Below are 17,066 nucleotides of genomic sequence, written 5' to 3'. Positions count from 1 at the left end.
GGTACTCCTTTCTTAGAATGTATCTTTCTAGTCAGGGCATTAGGTATTTTTTAATTCAAGTTAGAAGTCAGGACTCATCTTACACTTTCTACTTGAGTCTTTCCTGCAGGTTGTATCCTCTATATTAAGAGTATGCGTAGTTTATCTGTCTTTTAGGCAAATAGCCATCTTATTCCCACCCAAGGTGAGAGTCCATTTTAGTTCAGGAAAAAATAAATTTAAATTTATCGAGAGGGAGATTGTTGTGAGAAGAGAGGCAGAATTCCTTAGCTAGAGGAGAGATTCACAATCCTATGAATTGAGTAGACACAGAAGGCCTGGTCCTGGCTAAACGGAATGCTGGGAGCTCATGCCAGGGAGGGGTGGTGTGCAGAGGGACTGGGTTGGAATCCAGGTGGCTGAATTCATGGGAGCGTGGCAAAATCAGGTCCTGTTCCACTCGGGCTCAATTTCTAAAACCTACATGACTCCTAGGGGGTCTTCTCAAAGTACGGATTCTGATTCAACAGATCTGGGATGGGTCCTGAGCTTCTGCACTTTTCACAAGCTCCCAGATGATGTCCATGTTGCTAGTCCACAGACCACACTTTGAATAGCAAGGGAATAAGGAATCTAACTCTAGAGTTCAAATGTATGTGGGGTGAAGGTTTTGGGTACAATGTATGCTATGTATATTCATTTGGAGTCTAAATCATTCACTGGTGCTCATGGGGGATGACGATGTATGGGATTTCTAGAGTCCAGACTCAGTAAAGGAGCTACAAAGACTTGGGAAAAAGGTCAAATTCCCTAGTGGACATGCTGGGATCAGCTGAGAGAAACTTGATAGAGGACATTGGCTCCACCTACCCAGGAATAAGAGTAGGTTAGCCAGCCCTGAGTCAGGGGAAGAGGAGCACCACAGAACTAAGCCTCATACAGTGGAGGGGCTGAGAGCATGGACTCAGCTGCCAGGGAAACTGGACAGGAATCTTGGCTCCATAATTCTGAGCCTCTGTTTTTTCTTCTGTAAAAACTTACATTATGGGCTTGTTGAAAGCACTAAATAAGATAGTCCATGTGTTCTGGGTTCTGGTCCCTGAAAAACAGACTCTGAGATGATGATCTTTATGGAAGTGGTTTATTACACAGTGCCCCCTGGCAAAATCCATAGGGGAGAAGGGAAGTGGGACATAGAAAGGGAAGGAAGCCAAGCAAGGGTGCAATATGAAGCAAAGTTCTGTGAGTGTAACTTTAGCTCAGTCATGCAAGGAAACACTGGAGAGTAAATCACAAAACTAGGGTTATCCCAAACTAGAAGCAGGGTAGCTGGATTATTTATACCCTCACACGCATCAGTCATTAAGGGATACTCCCTGAGGGATGTAAATTCCTAAGCTCTTGCAGCTGTCTGCATACACAAGAAAAGCTGAAGTTCTGGATCTTGAGGGAAGTCCTCGGACAGAGTTGGGGACTGACTGTCCTGAAAAGAAGCACATCTGAAACTGTATGCACGACTGGTAACTGGCAAAGGATTGAGGGCATGTGAGAGGTGCTCTGAGAGTATCTGCTAAATTATGGAAAGAGTTTTAGCATGATCTGTGCCAATCCTAACCCACTGGTAAAATCTCCCTTTATTATATACAGTGTATACATAAACATTATCTATGAAGACAAAAAAGGACAAGAAGAGCAGGTATCTATCTCATGGCACACTGGACAGTGGGACTAGAAGAAGCAGATTATTCTGGGGGTCGACTTTGCAAATGCAACACATTATTAGGGAAACTGGGATCCAGTTACTGAGTGGCCTAAATGACCAGAAATCCCAAAGATCCACCTATTACTGTTGACAGAGAAGAAAAGTCATGAAAGTTCCTTTCAGTCCTGTGACTGCTGGGCACTGATTCTGCATTCAAGATGTGTTTCTAGATGTGAGTGGCCATACTTTATTGCTTGTGGCTTATGGAATGGATAACCTCCGTGGGCTCCATTTCCTAATCTTTAAGGTAAGAGGTCCTCTAGTTCTAAAATTTTACGAATTGACAAACCGCTAACTACAAGATGAACACTCCATAAATACTAAGCCACATTCTCCACAGTCACACATCCCCAAAGTGAGGTAAATTTCTTTTTCCATAAAAAGGTGCCAGAGATAGTGTATCTTTGTTTCCAGCATCTGTCCTGTGCAGGTGTACACGGTTCTCACCCAACTGGCTTCTAGTAATCCTTGTAGTTGCCTCTTGTATCCATGTGTCATATGCCTCCTGTGACTGATTAGTTAATCTGTCTTTCTCTGTCTCACATACTCTATAAATACACAAAAAGACATATATATGTACACATATGTACATGTATATAATTTTTTGGGCATAAAAAGCAGCCGAAGTATCCTCTTACTCTGATTTTAGAGATTATAACTTTTAGGCTGATTGGGGTGGGATGGGAGGCAAAAAAAATTGCTCAGGCAGGATTCCGATGCTACTAATTACTCACCAAAATATGGATAAGACCATTTTTGTAAGCAATGAATTGGCTCATTTAAAATTCCTTTGTTTTCATTTTTAGAAGAAAGAAAGAGGAAGAAGGAAGAAAGTCAAAAGGATGAAACAACAAAAGGAGCTCCCCACAGAAAGACAGACTCTTTCGCCAGCACATTTAAGAATCTAAATGAGGCCAAGTGCCAAGCAGATAAAGGGACTCTACTTGCTGCACAGTAAATAAAACGGAGGCAGGAGGACACCTGCATCAAACAATACTTTCTGAGGGGATGACAACAAGATTTCAGAGAATTCAGATCCTGACTTTCCTGCCTCACCAGGTAACCTGGCACAGAAGGATATCTAAGAGGGTAAAATAGACTGGAATCAGACCTAGAACAAACTATCCCCTCCCAACACAGTGGGGATGGAGTAGGCATTGTGGAGACGGACCCTGCTGCAGCCAGGTGGATGGCTCCTTGTGGCCAGAGGGCTGACATCAGGAAGCAGGTGGGAGTCCAGGCCATCCGATGGTGCCAGTGAAGGTAGCAAGAAGGCTGTGACGGCTTGTTCCAGACCATAACAGGGGAAGACTCAGGGCAGGCACTAGAAGAGACCCAGACAGACAAGCTGCTCATCAGCAGGGAAGGCAGATGGGGAGGGTAAGAGTAGGAGGGCCTTCATCACATTGATGGAGCAATGTGACATCAGGTGGGCCTGGGAACCAGCACCTCGGTCCTGGATGGCAGTAGAGAGTAGAGAGGAACTGATTGCAGGCAGGTTGTTGAGTAGGAAACTGTAGCAATTTCTTAGGACTGCCATAACGAAGTACCACAAACTGGGTCACTTACAATTACAGAAATGTATCCTCTCACTGTTCTGGAGATTAGAGGTCTGAAATCAAGATACCAGCAAAGTTGGTTCCTTCTGGGTACTCCAAGGGAGAATCTGCTCCATGCTTCTCTGCTGGCTGCTGGTGGTTGCTGACAGTCATTGGTGTCCCTGGGCTTGCAGGTGTATCACCCTAACCTCTGCCTCTGTCATCATGTGATGTTCTCTCTAAGAGCCTCTGCCTCTGTTTTCTCTTCTTATAAAGACATCAGTTGTGGGAACAGGGCCCACCCAAATGCAGTATGACCTTATCTTAGATTAATAAATTACATCTCCAAAGCCCCTGTATTAGTCAGGGTTCTCTAGAGAAATGGAGCCAATAGGAGATTGCATGCACACACACACACACAGGCACACACACACAATTTATTATAAGGAACTGGCTCACACAATTATGAAGGCTGAGAGGTCCCAAGATCTGCAGTTGGCAAGCTAGGAACCCGGGGGTGCTATGTGCAGTTCAGTCTGAGTCTGAAGGCCCGAAATCCAAGAAAGCCGGTGCTATAAGTTTCAGTCCAAAAGCCAGCAGCCTTGAAACCCAAAAAGAGCAGATGTTTCAGTTTGAGTCCAAATGCCAGGAAAGATCAATGTCCCAGCTTCCAGCCAGGCAGGAGGAGTTCCCTCTTACTTGCAGTAGGGTTTGCCTTTTTGTTCTATCCAGGCCTTCAACTGATTAGATTAAGGTCACCTAAATTACAGAGGGCAATCTGCTTTATTTATAAATATATATATGAGGTGATTTATCATAAGAATTAGTTCATGTGATTTTGGAGGCTGAGAAGCCCCACAGTCTGTCATCTGTGAGCTAGAGATCCAGGAAAGCCAGTGATATAATTCTTTTCAAGTTTAACGGCCTGAGAACCAGAGAAGATGATGGTGTAAGTCCCATTCTGGGTCTGAAGGCCCAAGAACCAGAAGCACAGATGTCTGAGGGCAGGAGAAGACAGACATTTCAGCTCTTAAAGATAGAGCAAATTTATCCTTCCTCTGCCTTTGTGTTCTATCTGGGCCCTCAATGTATTAGATGCTGCCCAACTGCATTAGTGAGAGCGCTCTTTTTCACTCAGTCTACCAATTGAAATACTAATCTCTTCCATAAACACACTCCAAACACACCCTGAAATAATGTTTGACCAAATATCTGGTCTATCCCTTAACCCAGTAAAGTTAACACATAAAATTCATCATCACTGTCTCTATTTCCAAATAAGGTCTGAGGTTCTGGGTGAACATTAACATGAAGGAGGCATACTATGTAGCCTGGTATAGTTCCCAAAAGAGATTGCAGCTCCATGGAACAATATAAAAACGTCTGAATAGAGCTACGGCATGAGTTTGTGCTCTGGTCCTGGGAGGAGCCTGAACAAGTCAAATTATAATCATATGATACATTACGGAAAAATTATGGTTCTAGAGCTGATGATGAAAGCCAAGGAGTAGTGACATTAGTCTCATGTTTCAAGAAGTAACCCCGATGGGCAATTCATGTGTTTAGCCTTAACCACATTCCAGCTCCCACTGAAGAGTCCTATTTAAATTAGCATACCTCCTCTTCCTCCTCAAGCTTCTGGTCCAACTGAAGAAAGGTATTTCCCCTTACCACCCCTCCTATCCTCACAAGAATCACTTCTGTACTGAGCTATCTCTTCTAATCTGAGAATGCCAGATTGTAGAAGAATGTGAGAACCACTGTTTTAATGTAATCTCACCTATTGTATCTGAAAAGACAGGGGTTGGGCATTTGGGTACCACTGGAAATGCTGATATATGCTTTCATACCAGACTTGGTTGGAGTTTTGTATTATTTTATAAATTATAGGACACGCCTGAGATTCTGAGAAAGTTTTTACCTTAGGAAAGACATAAATAAAGACTTTGAATCTGTCAAGAAGAGGAATGCAAAAACTTACCTATTCAATAGCTCTGACAAGGCTAGTGGTGTCAGCACCAACCAATAAAGTTGGGAGCAATCACGGAGAAGGACTGACTTATTAGTCTAGGGGTGTGGATGTGGAGATGAAAAGTTGACATGATGTTCTGGGGAGAAGCAGATATAGGCACCAGGAGCAAAGACCTCTGAGAAACCAAACTCACATTGTTCAGACAAATTCAGAAACTCAGATGGCTAAGTTCATTTGTCAAGTGAACACCAATAAATCCAGAGGTCATAGGAGGGACTCAAGAATCTCTGAGAGGCAGGCCACCTTCCATGCAGGGACAGGCAGATCACTGGCCAGAAGACTACCTAGGCTTCATCCAGGGAGTCTTCTTTTTGTCTACTAGATGTGGACTTTCTGGTTAATTCATATACATCCTGAGCACTTACTACTATGCAAAAATCACAATTAAATGATTATTCATTTGTGATTTAATTTTTCTCTAGCCAGCTGGGTGGGCTAATGTTAAAGAAAACAAAATAGAATGAGGAGACAAGAAAAAACAGGGCTTATTTTTAAGATGGCATGTGTAACCTAATTTTAAAAATAAAAATATATAGCCAGGCATGGTGGCTCATGCCTGTAATCCCAGCACTTTGGGAGGCCAAGGCAGGCAGATCGCCTGAGGTCAGGAATTCGAGACCAGCCTGACCAACATGGTGAAACCCCGTCTTTACTGAAAATACAAAATTAGCCTTGTGTGGTGGCTCATGCCTGTAATCCCAGCCACCCGGGAGGCTGAGGCGGGAGAGTTGCTTGAACCTGGGAGGCAGAGGTTGCAATGAGCCAAGATCACATCATTGCACTCCAGCCTGAGCAACAAGAGCAAAACTCCATCTCAAAATATAAATAAATGAAAATAAAATATATATGTATGTATACGTATGTATACGTACATATACAATTGGCTGGATGCAGTGGTGCACACCTGTAATCCCAGCATTTGGGGAGGCTCAGGCAGGCAGATCACTTGAGACCAGGAGTTCGAGACCAGCCTAGCCAACATGGCAAAAAACCCATCTCTACTAAAAATGCAGAAATTAGCCGGGGATGGTGGCGCACACCTGTAGTCCCAGAATTGCTTGAACCTGGGAGGCAGAGGTTGCAGTGAGATGAGATCACATCACTGCACTCCAGCCTGGGTGACAGAGTGAGACTCTGTCTCAAGAAAAAAAAGAAATATATATCAATTCACTCCCTTCCATTTGGACCTCTTTCATTTTCTCATCAGCTCTAGTCTGCCTTTCTTTGAATGTTTTCAGTCCAGTTAGGAGTAGTTACAATGTCAATGTCATGATAATACCTATTAGTTTATAAAACACATATTTATGTTACTTGATCCTTTCAATGGCCCTGTGATGTAAGAATTACTGTTAACCCACTTTACGGAGGAGAAATCAAGTTGTAGCAAGAAGGAAGTCCAGCCAGGACTGGTATCTGAGACTACTGGATTGCAAATTCAATGCTATTTCCACACACCACACACCACCGCAGTGGAGGAGAAGAACCTCGAAAAAGAACTTCTGTCAGCTTTAGAATTGGTGGTGATTATTTTCCACTCTGCCTCAAGGCAGAGCTCAGATAAACCCCTGAGGGCAAAGTTGTTAGGACCAGAAGGGCTCGAACTCAGACTTGCCTCTGCTTCTGAAGGGACCAGGGCAACCGAACTCAGGAAGAGCTCTGTTGCCTTCATCACTTAATTAACTGAGCGTCACACTCCATTTGCTGTTGTCTCCAAGACACTGGCAATTGTGTGGCTTTCTTGGCTTTTCATTCCATGAAAGGCTCTTTCATCCCAGCTCCTCCAGGCCCTGGGGAGCTGGATGGGAAGGGAAGAAAGAGGTGTAATGGGACTCTGTGAACACGGCTCTGTATTGTGCTCCACTGTGATATCCTGCTTTCTATCACTTTCTATTTATGGCAAGGTCCCTGGACAGCTACCTGAATGAAACATATGGAATGTTTTTTAATCCTATCATTACTCACTGAGGTATGGAAGTCACAACTCTGGCACCTTACTGCCTCACTCATTTAAAATGCCTTTTGCTATTTTTTTTTTTAAGTGAGAGAAGAAAAGAGTAGAAAGAGAGCGAACAAACTCAGTCAATGAAGAAACAAAAGTGAGTCCCTGGGGCTAGCGAGAGACATTGCCAACTCTTCGGAGACTTCCAGACACTGACAAAAATGTGGAAGCAACACAACATGCGTCACATACAGGCGCCGAGGAACACACAGGAGCCAAAGCTATAAAAAACTTGCTCTAAAATTTCAAAGAAGCGAAATTCTCTTCTCAAAGGTGTTGAGAACTGGCCCCGGCTGCCTCCCAAGCTTTAGTAAAAGAAGCATGAAATGGCTGTCAGATATGAAATGCCTATAAAAATTTGTTAAACTGCAAAGACAGGAACTGTATCTTTTTAGCTTTTACTCCATAGCATTGAACACAAAAATACTTCTGGGACCTTGAGCAGGGTAGCATGGGAGTGAATTTGATCCAGGCTACACAAGGATTTTGCTGGCTTTCTAAACTATTGGGTAAAGAAAGCAGGTGAGTCTCAGTGTCTTGTGGCACACACCTATGTGAAACCACGATGCCAATGCACCCCACTCTTGGGGGGAAGTTCCCATGACACAAAGCTTGCGTGCCCACACTTCTTCTGTGACTCCCCCTCCCATCTGCTCTTCTCTCTTCACTCACTCTGGCTGCATGGAAAACACAAGAGCAGAAGTAGTACTCCCAGCTTTTACTTCAAACACCTGTTATGATTCATCTCAAGATTACAGACACTTGGACCATCTTCTGATGTGGATGAGAAGACAGGGCTGAGAGGAAGGAATAGAATTGAAACCTAGTTAATGTAGGGCCCCTGGCTTATTTTTTATTCAATTCCAACTGCCATAAGGAAGAAAATGAGTAGACTTTACTCCTTCTATTTTTTTCTTTCCCTTTCAGCCTGTATACCTCCTGTCCCTCAGTCCTCCATACTCCAGGAGTGATACTTGTATTTACACCTGCTGACAGTGGAGTCTTTTGGTGCAAAAGGTCCTTTTGAAAGGGGATATGCAACAGCTTAGCAAGAGTTCAAAACTAAGGATTTTGAAGGAACTGATGACTGTTTTCTAAGGGTCTGAGAATGTTTATGTGTCCTTGATGCTGGTAGAGGGAGTCATCTCCTTTCAGTTGGCCAAGAGTAATAACCAGTCTGCTTAACGGTTCACGAATAAGAAATTGTATGTAATCTCTGTGCTATGAATTATGCACAGACTGTGGACAGAAAAGAGGTCGGCTACTTCCCACTTGACTCACCTCTACTGAGTTCACCTTCACTTCCAACATCCCTGGGTGGCAGCACCCATCACTTCCTCTTCGGTCTTTTGACAAGGAGTTGATCAAGAAAAGAAGTCTGCTAAGAACAAATATCCTTGACTTTGGTGAACTCATATAATTCCCTTCTTTTTCTTTTTTTTTTTTTTGAGACAGAGTCTCACTCTGTCACCCAGGCTGGAGTGCAAAGCTGCAATCACAGCTCACTGCAGCCTCAACCTCCTAGGCTCAAGCAATCCTCCCACCTCAGCTTCCTGAGTAGCTGGGACTACAGGCACACACCACCAACCTTTGCTAATGTTTCTATTTTTGTAGAGACAGGGCTTTGCCATGTTGCTCAAGCTGCTCTCAAACTCATGAGCTCAAGCGATCTGCCTGCCCTGGCCTCTCAAAGTTCTGGGATTACAGGCATGAGCCATCTCTGCTGGCCTCATATAATTCTTAAAATTTCTTTCCTTTGATAACAATTCCTAATCACCTTAACAAATATCTACTTCACAACTCCTGACAGAGACTTCAAATGGCAACTCTCAGTTGTTAGCCAAGGGAAAAATAAAGAAAGTGGAAAAGCAGCCAGTTAAGAATGAAATGGGCAGAGAAAAAGAGAGAAATGAAATATCTTATATGATGACCAGTAAATATCTTTGACAAGCATCTGGAATTGGAGTAACACTCAGCCTTCACCTCAAAAAGTAGTGTTTCTAAATCCTTTGAATAAACATGAGTGGCTATATCTTACTCCTCTGTGAGCCACATTGTCCACAAAAATATAGTAGTCTGACCCCCTCCCATTTCAGCTCTGATAATAAGCTGAGTGTCTCAGCAGCAGCAGGAAGCTGTATACATAGTTCTCTGATGCCCAAGACTGATCAGCTGGTTCAGGCTACATCACTAGCACAAGCACTCTGAACAACATTCATTCATAGTCTCAGGACCCTCAGGAAACCAGGGCCATAGGCCATCACCTATTGGATCAAGTTTGTCATATATTCTCCAGCAGATATAACTCTTTCTTCTACTACTGCTTTTCTCTCTAGACAACATCAGAGTGGAGACAGACAAATGAGGCCTGTTAAATTATCATATCCTTGGAATATTTTGGCACTATATATAATTCCAGGAATCATTTTATCCTCCCTTGCCTCTAGGTAGAACTTTCCCTATGTGGTCTCAAAAAAAAAAAAAAAAAACAAGACCTGTTTATAGTTTTAAACATAAGATAAAGGAGGGAAGAGATTACTACTTGGGGGCATCTAATATGTGCCAAATACTATATTGAACTTTCTCCATGGTCGTTGAGACAGGAATGAGTTTAGAACTGTGGAAACTAAATTCTGAGTGCTAAATTATTTTCCCTGATCCCACAGCTAAAACATTTCAGTGTTTGGAACTTCACTGGTATTGTGTCAAAGTTCACGTACATTACAAAATGCTATGGTCTTTGCCCCTAGGGAGTTCTCAACCTTGCTTGGAAGTCTATGCTGGTGTGTGTTTTACCATCTAAAACTAAAAAGTATCTTACCTATGTCCTCTCCGTTAGTGAGTGAATGCTTCCCACTTCTCGCTCTCCTCTGATTTATCTCCAATACATCTTTTAAAATTAAATGACATTTCAACCTTTAGGGGAAATGCAATCTAATCCCTTTGGGACTATTGCTCCTATTAGCTCATCATTCCAGGCATTGATGAGGATTGCATTAGGGTTAGGACACTGAAGCACAGTGACAAGGGTAAAAGGAGGAAGAGTTCTGCCTCATTGCCAAAAGCAGAATGTTCCCCCGCTGAAAATATCTTTTTATAAATTCAGGTCCAATAAGCTATATTATCTATACCTCACACTGTAATCCACTCCTGTCTCCCAAGAGCTCCCCATTACATATTGAATATTTGAGTGGGGGTTGCTTTAAAGCCTTTCATTATCAAATAGTGTTAGGGGAGCAGTGTGTAATGAGAAAATTGGCATGCATCCCAGAGTGATCTGAGGGGCTGGGATTCAGAATGCTAAGCCACCATTCAAAATGTAAGTAATTAAAATTAATTAAAAATCATTAAACAAACCTTCACTTTTGCAATTTCAAGGTACAACCCAAGTCACCAGAGCTCATAAAAGATGTGTGTGCTGTCGCATCTATGTGAAGTATTTCCATGACCCGAGCATTGACCACAGGACTGTGCTGGAGGAAACTGGATCAAGGTACCAAGGTGAGTCAAAAGCCCTTTATATAAAACATGAATAGAAATGTAAGTACATGCCCATGTGTATGAATCCCAGACTTACATGGCGACAATTGACCCACTCATTCTCTAATCATCCATCAACAGTATTTATTCTGTTACTCTCCAGTGCCCAGCATTCCCTAAGGGCTCTGCCATTTCAGCAGCATACAGAGCATCAGACCTCACCTCAAGTTGCTTATCATTCCAATTTAGATGGGTAGGGAGATGGAAGATAGACAAGAAGCCAAGAATAACAGCATAGAAAGATGCATCATTCAGTCATTCAACACACATTGTAGAGCACCTAGTAAAAGGAAAGCATTAGTGCATGTGGATACAGAGTCCTTGCCTTCAATGACTGCAGCCTGCTAAATACAATCAGTACTAGTTGAGGGATAAAGTGTGCTACACTCATGGATTTAAGAATGAGCATGGTGTGTGTCTAGGGTAGGCTGAGAGTGGAAATGATTACTCCCTAGCAACTCTGTGACAGTAAAATGACATACAAAGATCAAATAAAGGAAAACTTTCAGAACCAGGAAATTAGTCTTCATGATCACTTCCGAGAGGATTGGAATTCAGTATCACAAATTTTTTGGCTGGTCAACGTGGCTCACATCTATAATCCTAGTACTTTGAGAGGCCAAGGCAGGCAGACTGCCTGAGTTACCAGCCTGGCCAAGATGGTGAAACCCTGTCTCTACTAAAAATACAAAAATTAACTGGGCGTGATGGTGTGCACCTGCAATTCCAGCTACTTGGGAGGCTGAGGCATGAAAATCACTTAAGCCTAGGAAGCAGAAGTTGCAGTGAGCCAAGATCATACCGCTGCACTCCAGCCTAGGTAGCAGAGTAAGACTCTGCCTCCAAAAAAAAAAACAAAATTAAATTAAAATAAATATATATATATTTTTAGGCAAACTTGACTTCTGCAGGTTATGCCCTCCGTCTTAGGACTACAAGTAAATGAGAAAATTAATTATATGATTTCTGCGCTGTCTTCATGTTCAAGTGTTATCACTCTGTCTTCCTCATTCCATCATAGACAGATACAGGAGGGTCTCCAGAAACCCTAGAGCTGAATGGAACCCGTCTGGAAAACATACACTGGAAACTAGGCCGAGGATTATCCAAAGGGTGGTTGAAATCAAGGGTTAAAGTTTGGCTCAAGATAAGGAAGAATCTTCTAATAATTAAAACTGACCATCCAAAAGGTAATGGGATGCTCTGTGGTATAGTTAGTGATTTCTGTGTCTTTGAAATAATCAAGTGGTAGCTAGAAGACCACTGTCAGGAATGCAATAAAAGTATTTCCTGCACTAAGAAAGAAAACAAAGATGACATTACCTCAAGTTGCTTTACAACTCTCAGGTTCTTTGAGTCTTTGACATGCTCAAAATTATATTTTGAGAGAGCTTGGCCTATCTCCTGAAACATTCTGCTTCAACTTGAGCATCTCTCTCTCTCTTTTTCCCTGTTCAATTTCTTTATACTTCTGTATTAATATTTTTTGTTTGCTAGGGGTTTCTATCAAAAAGAAAAACTAATATGTAAGAACCATTTGTCTCCTTAAGTAATAGCTCGTCAATTGTTTGAAAGCAGTCATTATTTCCATTCCCCAATCCTTTATTCTCTTCTTCAGAATAAATCTCCCTGGCTTTTTCAACTGAGACTGTAGTTTGATTTCTAGATTTTCCAGATTCTCCAACCTGTACAAAGAACATACTCATCTGGGCCCACATGTCCTCAGTATAATAAATGTGATAACACTTGAACATGAGGCAAATTCAAGAACTGAACCTTAGTTTTGGCCTCTGGATTCTGGAAAATTTGAGGACAAGACTGAATTAAGTGTCAAGAAAAGTTCTGAATGCAGGACTCTCCCCAGAAGCAAAGGCACAAATGCCTGTGCCTCTCACTTTATAATATGTGTTGGGGAGATCTTGCTGTCGTCAGAGTCTTCCTACAAGGCCCTGCAGGGGAGCTGGTGCCTGTGAGCCACTCCTGCCTTGTGAGGAGGGGACTAGAAGATAGGATACCTGGGTACCTGCTTCTTGATGCAAACCTCAAAAGCATATGTATGTGTATATATATATATATATATATATATATATATATTTTTTTTTTTTTTTTGAGATAGAGTCTCACTCTATCACTCAGGCTGGAGTGCAGTGGCACGATTTCAGCTCACCACAACTTCCATCTCCCAGGTTCAAGCCATTCTCCTGCCTCAGCCTCCTGAGTACTGGGATTGCAGGTGCGTGCCACCACACCCGGCTATTTTTTGTATTTTGAGTAGAGACAGGGTTTCACCATGTTGGCCAGGCTGATCTTGAACTCCTGACCTCATGATCCACCTGTCTCGGCCTCCCAGAGTGCTGGGATTACAGGCGTGAGCCACCGTGACTGGCCCTCAAAAGCATTTTTAAGGTGTGTTTGCCTTTTCATGCTCTGTGATCCCCATGCCCTTGGACCACTTCTTCTCCTAAAAGGGAATTCAACTTATTTTAATGCCTTTATGAGCTGAATTTATGATAGTCACTTTATGAGTGAACTTTACATGTCACTGAAAAAAGGATATGTTGAGATTCTAAGCCCCAGTAACTCAAAATGTGACCTCATTTGGAAATAGGGTTGTTACAGGTGTAACTAGTTAAGATGAGATCATAGTGGAGTCGGGTGGGCCCCTAATTCAATACGACTGTTATCCTCTATGAAGACAGCCAGGTGAAGACAGAGACACTGGGAGAATGCTGTGTGAAGACAGAGCATCAGAATAATACATCTACAAGCTGAGGAATGCCAAACATTGCAGGCAACACCAGCAGCTACAAAGCAGCAAGAAAAAAGTCCCTTACAGTTTTCTGAGGGAACATTGCTCTTTGAACACCTTGATTTGGAACTACCAGCCTCCAGAACTATAAGACAACAAATTTCTGTTTTTTTAAGCCACCTAGTTTGTGGTATTTTGTTATGGTAGTACTGGGAAACCAATACAGTAAACCTTCCCTTGATGGCCTTCTTTACATAGAAACAGAATTTCCTCTTTCTTCCAAGGTCATGTCAGAGGGCTGAGGGTGAACAAGACATTGGCAGGTGGTGTATCCTGCTTTGGGTCTCATCTCCTGTGTTACTGCAACAGCATTCTCCCAAATCTTGAGAATACTGGCAGAGAAGAGAGCAGGAATGAGTGTCAGGGGAAGCTGGTACTGTATTAAGCTGGTCTTAATTTGACGAACATAGCCACCTTAATGTTTTGGATTTGAGTCTAGCTATCTGTAAAATGGAGACAATACTCTGGTTCTACTTTCTACCCTTCTTGCAATTACTTCTTATTGGTAATGTGAGGGAATAAAAAAATGACAAAAACTCTGAGCTGCTCAGGCAAGAGTACAAAGGAATCCAACCCAGTCTGGCAGAAGCAGCAGCAGCAGAAGCAGCAGAAAAATAGGACTTCTCTCAGAAAAGGCCAGGAACCAGAGCCAGGCCAGAAGAATGGCCATGGAACACCAGGGAAAGCAGAAAGTGCCCGTGGGTACCATGGATCCAGGGAAGGAAGCCAAGTCCAGACTTCAGCATGTGAGGCCAGCCATGAGAGAGCAGGCATGGTGTGCACTCCAGGTCAGTAAGTCCAGGTTAGCAGATAGCTATACAGCTAGGCATGGGCCTGGTCAAAAGCAAAGACAGGCTACACGAGCGGAACAAATGGAACGAAGTAGAGGGTTTGGAGACAAGCCAACTCCAAGACAGCAACTGGGGTTCTATGAGAGAAAACTGGGTGGAACCACTGCTCCTCAGGCAGAATTGTTTGCCTTCCGCTCATGTTTGTTTTTTAATTTCAATTTTTTTGGGTACATAGTAGGTGCATATATTTATGGGGTATAGGAGATGTTTTGATACAGGCATGCAATGTGAAATAAGCATATCATGGAGAATGGGGTATCCATCCCCTCAAGCATTTATCCTTCAAGTTACAAACAATTCAATTACACTCTAAGCTATTTTAAAAGGTACAACTAAGTGATTATTGACTATTGTCAACCTGTTGTGCTATCAAATAGTAGGTCTTATTCATTCTTTCCAGCTATTGTTTTGTACCCATTAGCCATCCGCACCTCCCTCTGCCACCCTCCCAATACCCTTCCCAGCCTCTCGTAACCATCCTTCTACTCTCTATGTCCATGAGTTCAATTGTTTTGATTTTTAGATACCACAATAGGTGAGAACATGCAATTTTGTCTTTCTGTGCTTGGCTTATTTCTCTTAACATAATGATCTCCAGTTCCATCCATATTGTTGCAAATGACTGGTTCTTATTTTTTTATGGCTGAATAGTACTCCATTGTGTATATGTACCACATTTTATTTATCCATTCTTCCATTGGTGGTCACTTATGTTGCTTCCAAATCTTAGCTATTGTAAATAGTGCTGCAACAAACACAGAAATGCAGATATCTCTTTCATATGCTGATTTCCTTTCTTAGGGGTATATACCAAGAAGTGGGATTGCTGGATCATATGGTAGCTCAATTTTTACTTTTTTGAGGAATGTTCAGACTGTTCTCCATAGTAGTTGTAAAAATCTACATTCCCACCAAAGTATACAAGAGTTACCTTTTCTCCATAGCTTTACCAGCATTCGTTATTGCCCGTCTTTTGATATAAGCCATTTTAACTGGGATGAGATAATGTCTCATTGTAGTTTTGATTTGCATTTCTCTAATGACCAATGATAGTGACCATCTTTTCATATGCCTGTTTGCCATTTGTGTGTCTTCTTTTCAGAAATGCCTATTCAAATATTCTGCTCATTTTTTGATAAAATTTTTAGGTTTTTTTTCCTATAGAGTTGTTTGAGCTCTTTATATATTCTGGTTATTAATATATTTTCTCTCATTCTGTGGATTATCTCTTCACTTTGTTGATTGTATCTTTTGCTGTGCAAAAGCTTTTTAACTTGATGTGACCCCTTTTGTCTATTTTTGCTTTGGTTGCTTGTGCTTGTGGGGTATTGGTTGAGAAATTTTTGCCCAAATCAATGTCCCAGAGATTTTCCCCAATGTTTTCTTGTAGTAGTTTCATAGTTTGAGGCCTTAGATTTTAGTCTCTAATCCATTTTTATTTGATTTTTGTATATGGTGAGAGATGGGGGTCTAGTTTCATTCTTCTGCATATGAATATCCAGTTTTCCCAGCACCATTTATTGAAGAGACTCTTTTACCCAGTTTATATTATTGGCATCTTTGTCAAAAATGAGTTCAGTATAGCTGTGTGGATTTGTTTCTGGGTTCTCTATTCTGTTCCATTTGTCTATGGGTCTGTTTCTATGCCAGTACCAAGCTGTTGTGATTACTATAGCTCTGTAGTATAATTAGAAGTCAGGTAATGTGATTCCTCTTGTTTTATTCTTTTTGCTTAGAATAGCTTTGGAAATCCTGGGTCTTTTGTGGTTCCATATAAATTTTATAATTTTTTTTATTTCTGTGAAGAATGCCATTGGTATTTTGATAGGGATTGCATTGAATCTGTATATTTCTTTGGGTAGTATGAACATTTTAACAATATTGATTCTTCCAATCCATGAACATGGAATATTTTTCCATTTTTTGGTGTCCTCTTCAATTTCATCAGTGTTCTGTAGTTTTCATTATCAAGATCTTTCACTTCTTTGGTTAAGTTAATCCCTATGTATTTAACTTCATGTGTGACTATTGTAGATGGGATTACCTTTTAAATTTCTTTTTCATATTGTTCACTATTAACATATAAATATGCTACTGATTTTTGTATGTTGATTTTGTATTCTGCAACTTCACTGAATTTTTTTATCAGTTCAATAGTTTTTTTGAGGAGTCTTTAAGTTTTTCAAAATATAAGATCATATCATCTGCAAACAAGGATAATCTGACTTTTTTCTCTTTAATTTGGATGCCCTTTATATCTTTCTCTTGCCTGATTGCCTTAGCTAGAACTTCCAGTACTGTTTTGAATAACAGTGGTGACAGTGGGAACCCATGCTGTGTTCCAGATCTTAGAGAAAAGGCTTTCATTTTTTTCCTATTCAGTATGATATTAACTGTGGGTCTGTCATACATGGCTGTTAGTATGTTTGGGTATGCTCCTCCTACACCCAGTTTTTTGAGGGTTTTTATTATGAGGGATGTTAAATTTTATCAAATGCTTTTTCAGCATCAGTTAAAATGATCATACATTTTTTATCCTTCACGTTGTTGATGTGA

The 17,066-nt window shown here is 41.5% G+C and overlaps 1 long non-coding RNA gene across 1 annotated transcript, besides 1 other annotated feature; it reads left to right on the top strand.

The window, feature by feature from the left end:
• The first annotated feature begins 536 nt into the window (after window positions 1-536).
• Window positions 537-12,494, top strand: LINC02769 (long intergenic non-protein coding RNA 2769). Its single transcript, NR_187286.1, has 3 exons — window positions 537-2,800; window positions 10,689-10,811; window positions 11,872-12,494. It is a non-coding gene; the product is annotated as a long intergenic non-protein coding RNA 2769 (long non-coding RNA).
• Window positions 6,317-6,486: an enhancer, noted in NCBI's record as "experimental_2148 CRE fragment used in MPRA reporter constructs". NCBI's record gives its function as "activates a minimal promoter by MPRAs in K562 erythroleukemia cells, with activity observed for the non-introgressed 1:208805729 variant allele {active_cell/tissue: K562}" and the evidence as "EXISTENCE:reporter gene assay evidence [ECO:0000049][PMID:34662402]".
• Window positions 12,495-17,066: the final 4,572 nt, after the last annotated feature.

This window comes from Homo sapiens, chromosome 1, assembly GCF_000001405.40.
Source record: "Homo sapiens chromosome 1, GRCh38.p14 Primary Assembly".
NCBI lineage: Eukaryota > Metazoa > Chordata > Mammalia > Primates > Hominidae > Homo > Homo sapiens.
The sequence above is the reverse complement of the archived record's forward strand: the minus strand, read 5'-3'. Positions and strand labels throughout refer to the sequence as shown.